This window comes from Homo sapiens, chromosome 14 (assembly GCF_000001405.40).
Source record: "Homo sapiens chromosome 14, GRCh38.p14 Primary Assembly".
In the NCBI taxonomy this organism is placed as follows: Eukaryota; Metazoa; Chordata; class Mammalia; order Primates; family Hominidae; genus Homo; species Homo sapiens.
In genome coordinates, this window is record NC_000014.9 from 59,027,768 (window position 1) to 59,032,037 (window position 4,270).

Sequence of the window (4,270 nt, forward strand, 5' to 3'; positions counted from 1 at the left end):
AAGCTGAAGCATGAGAGCCACTTGAAGCAGGGAGGCAGAGGCTACAGAGAGCCGAAATCGCGCCACTGCATTATAGCCTGGGTGACAGAGTGAACTCTGTCTCAAAATAATAATAATAAATTAATTAATTAAAATAAATAAATCACTAGTATATGTCATATATCCAGGACCTAGTATCATTTACCTGCATTCTTTAAAAAGTACTGATGTGTTAAAAGACAATGAGTAGATAACTGTTCTTAATGCTAGACCTCAGTCTTACCCCACTTACTATTGTCTTGCAATGAAATTAAAATATTTAAAAATTTTAAAAGAATGTTTCCATGCAGAAAGGAGACAAAATCATTCCTCAAAACTTGAGAAAGTTCCAGGCAAAGGGAAATGATTAATTTCTCTTAAAGCAGATCAGGTCTTTCATCTTGGCAAATTACTCTGAATTAGAAGTCTTCCCTAGATTGTAGATCAAACTTAACAAGGCTCGCTGAACTAAGAAAAGGCATATTTGACTGCATGGTGAGAAAAGTAAAAAATAAAAGACAAAGGCTCCTGCGAAAAATCTCCCTGCAAATGCCTGTAATACACACAGTGAACAAGCCAAGCTTTGCTAACACATGTGCCCAGCCTGATCATTGGCGCCTGATGAAGTGGCATATTATAAGCGAGGATTGAGAATATAATTTTTAAACAAATAATCACTTAACTGAATGCACCATTACTTAGAATATACACTTCCTATCAAAGAAGAAAGAGCATTTAGTCACACATGAGGAGCACCAATGCTGGAAGGGAATAGAGTCTAGCAGAGCATAACATTGCAATCCTGGGGGCAAATTGGAGCCATAAATCTGGATGAGTCACTGAGGGCCTGAATTCCTACAGCTATCACAGATGAGGGTAAAGAGGAGAATAAACAGCAGAGAAAACAGATGACAAAGGGTGAGACTGGGCAGCTGGACAAAAGGCTGCACACGTTGTTAGGACCCCGGGAAGCCACAGGAGGGCAGCAGAAGCAAGTGGCACAGACGTAAGTTACAGAGCGTCCTTTCAGGAAGGGTGCATTTTAAAACATATCAATCTGTCACAGAATCTAGACTTCAAACCGCTGGAAGTTAGTGGAGTATTTCTTAATGGCTCTTATGCCATTAAACTGAACCCAAAACAATGTTTATATGCAATCTAAAGATTCAAAGGATTAGGTAGGAGAAGTGAGTCTGGTGAAGGGATTTTCTGAGCAGGGAAGACAGAAGGTGCATTCTTCCTTTCATTATTTTCTCATTGTCTGCCATCATGGGTAGAGTATTCATGGACCAGTAACTAAGAATTCAGGACAGAGGCTGTGGCCTTTCTTAGAAGTAGTGGCAAGCAGGCAGCTAAAGATATGCTAACAACCTCAATCAGAATGTAGAATGAATGAAAAGTGTATCTGAGGAAATTGACAATTGATTGACGAGACTCCTTAATTGCTCATTAAAATTATACCTGGGGAGCTACAATGAGGGTCCCTCCAGAAAGGACCCTCTTAGCCACTTCTTGTGCTCCCATGAGTTTTTAATAATTGTATGAATAAAAGAGCATAGATTTTTGCTTAATCACATTTCTTTTCAAAAAGGAAAGTGAGAATCTATTACTGAAAAAGAAAATACCATTCCAGCATGCCATCTAAGTAGTGCCCAAAACAGACCTGTCATTATGTTAAGAGCTAATTTTGACCTATGGATGAACTTCTTTACTTCAATTTAAGGATAGAAAGCTCAACTTTTAAGGATATGGGTGAATCTGCCCTATAATGTTGGGACAGTGAGTAGGAAAATACTTATTTTGTTCAGGGAATGTATTCTTTTCACCCTTTCCCCTTGAGGCTTGAATTTGCTTTTTCATCTTTATAAAAATCTGATAAATTATCAAAATAAAATAGGCATTAACCAAGAATTCCCTTTCTAGGAAATGATTCCAAAAATTAATCAGATGCAAAAAGTGATGTATGTTCAAGGATGTTTTGAGGAATGGATGTCCTATTTACGTTTGAGAAAATGGAAAATAACCTCACATTTTTATAATAATAATAACAATAACAAATCTTTATTGAATATTAACTTTGTACCAGATCCTACTAAGCCCTCTTACTTGTTTCTCACAACAAGCCTAGCAGGTAGGTGTTATTACTATACCCATTTTGGAGATGAGAAAGCCATGCCTCCAAAAGGTTAAGCAACTTGCTGAAGGTCACACATCTAATACAAATTGGAGTGGGGATTTTGGTTCCAGAACCCATAGATTTAACATCTATATTATATATCTTCTTTTTATATAACAGAATGATTAAATATATTTGGGTACATCCTCATAATAGGATATTTTCCAAAATTAAACATCGTGATTTTTGAAAAATAGTAATGCAAAATGAAAAACAATATAATGTTAAGTGAATAAATCAGGATACAAAATAGTAGGTGCAGTATGATTTCAATTGCGTAAGATTCAAAAGAAAAATACATGTGAACATGTTCAAAGTGAACATGTTTCTGGATGGTATATTGAAATTCTTGTCTTTTCATCTTTTCGTATTTTCTAGTTCTTTATATGAGCATACTTTGCTTCTATAATTATGAAGTTATTGTGTAGCAGATGCACAGTGAAGAGAACTTTTGCATTTTTATTCTGTAAGAAAATTTGACATAATGAATGCTGTAGTTTGGATATGGTTTGTTTGTCCCCACCAAATCTCTTGTTTGAATTTGATCCTCAATGTTGGAGGTGGGGCACAATGGAAGGTGTTTGGGTCAGGGGGTGAATCCCTCATGAACAGATTAATGCCCTCCCTCTGGGGCGAGTGAGTTCTCACTCTATTAGTTTCCATGACAGCTGGTTGTTGAAAAGAGCCTGGCACCTCACCTCTCTCTCTCTTGCTTCCTTTCTCTGCAAACCTGTGATCTCTGCACAAGTCAGTTTCCCTTCACCTTCCACCATGAGTAGAAACAGCCTGAGGCCTTCACCAGATGCAGATGCCCAATCTCAAACTTTTTCAGCCATCAGGACTGTGAGCCAAATAGTCCCTTTTTATTTACAAATTACCCATCCTCGGATATTCCTGCACAGCAATACAAAATGGACCAAGACAATGAACTTGACAGTTGCTTAGGAATTTGTAGGCAAATTTGCATGAGTCCAAACATTTGGTGGGAGGTGAGGAACAAGAATCTGACTCCTATCAGTAATTCATAGCTACTGAAACTTGTTGGGGAGAATTATGGTGGCTTAACTAAGTAGCAGTAAAATGTGATTGAGGCCCGTAAATAAAATCACCATGAGGGTGGAAAAGAGCTGGGGTTAGCGGTTGACCCCTGCAATTGTGAACCTTCCCATAGAGACAGTATGTCCCAGTTAGGATGCCTTTGCCTATGAATGACACAATACCCAGCTAAAATTGGCATAGGTAATAAGTATATTACTTTCCATGAGAAGCTCAGAGGCACAGTGGTTCCAGATTTGGTTCAGCAAACTAATATGCGCAATGAAGCCAGATCCTTCCAGTCTTTTCTCTCACCATTCTCAGCATGTTGACAACCTCTCCCCTCATTGTCTCATAATGGTGGCAGTAGTTCCAGGCATCACTTGGAGATTTGACCACATTCAATGTGTATGGAAAGTTGTTTTTCCTCCCATGCATTTCTTCTTACTAAGAAAAACCTTTTCCTGAAGCCCCTGATATATTTCCCATTGTTCTCTATCAGGTAGGATTATATACTAGCAAGAGAGTAGGAAAGGGGAATGGCTTTTGGGTAGGCAACATCCATTATCTGCACAAGTTGTTCTGGGTGATGCAGGGAATAGTAGAACTTCACCTGGTCCTTCAGGTGAAGGAGCTGTGTATTCAAGCATTGTAAATTGGGAGCCCCAGACAGATTTGACATGGAGCACCTTGGATGCATGTAGCAATGACTGGGAATGGGAATCAGGGACCAACCTCCTGAATGAGATAAAGGTCAATCATCCTGAGACTTCCGGGTATTACAGGAGAGAAGGCGCTGGTGGGATTCAAGTGATTTAATGGGCACATTTAAAGGAAATGTGGGATGGGCGTGGTGGCTCATGCCTGTAATCCCAGCACTTTGAGAGGCCAAGGTGGGTGGATTGCTTGAGCTCAGGAGTTCGAGACCAGCCTGGACAATATGGTGAAACCCCATCTCTAGAAAAAATACAAAAATTAGCCAGGTGGAGTGGTGCATAACTGTTGTCTCAGCTACTCGAGAGGCAGAGGTGGGAGGATCGC

At 39.3% G+C, this 4,270-nt stretch overlaps 1 annotated feature.

Moving 5' to 3' along the window:
• Positions 965-1,014: a silencer, noted in NCBI's record as "silent region_5802". NCBI's record gives its function as "represses an Ori minimal core promoter by ATAC-STARR-seq in GM12878 lymphoblastoid cells {active_cell/tissue: GM12878}" and the evidence as "EXISTENCE:reporter gene assay evidence [ECO:0000049][PMID:35858748]".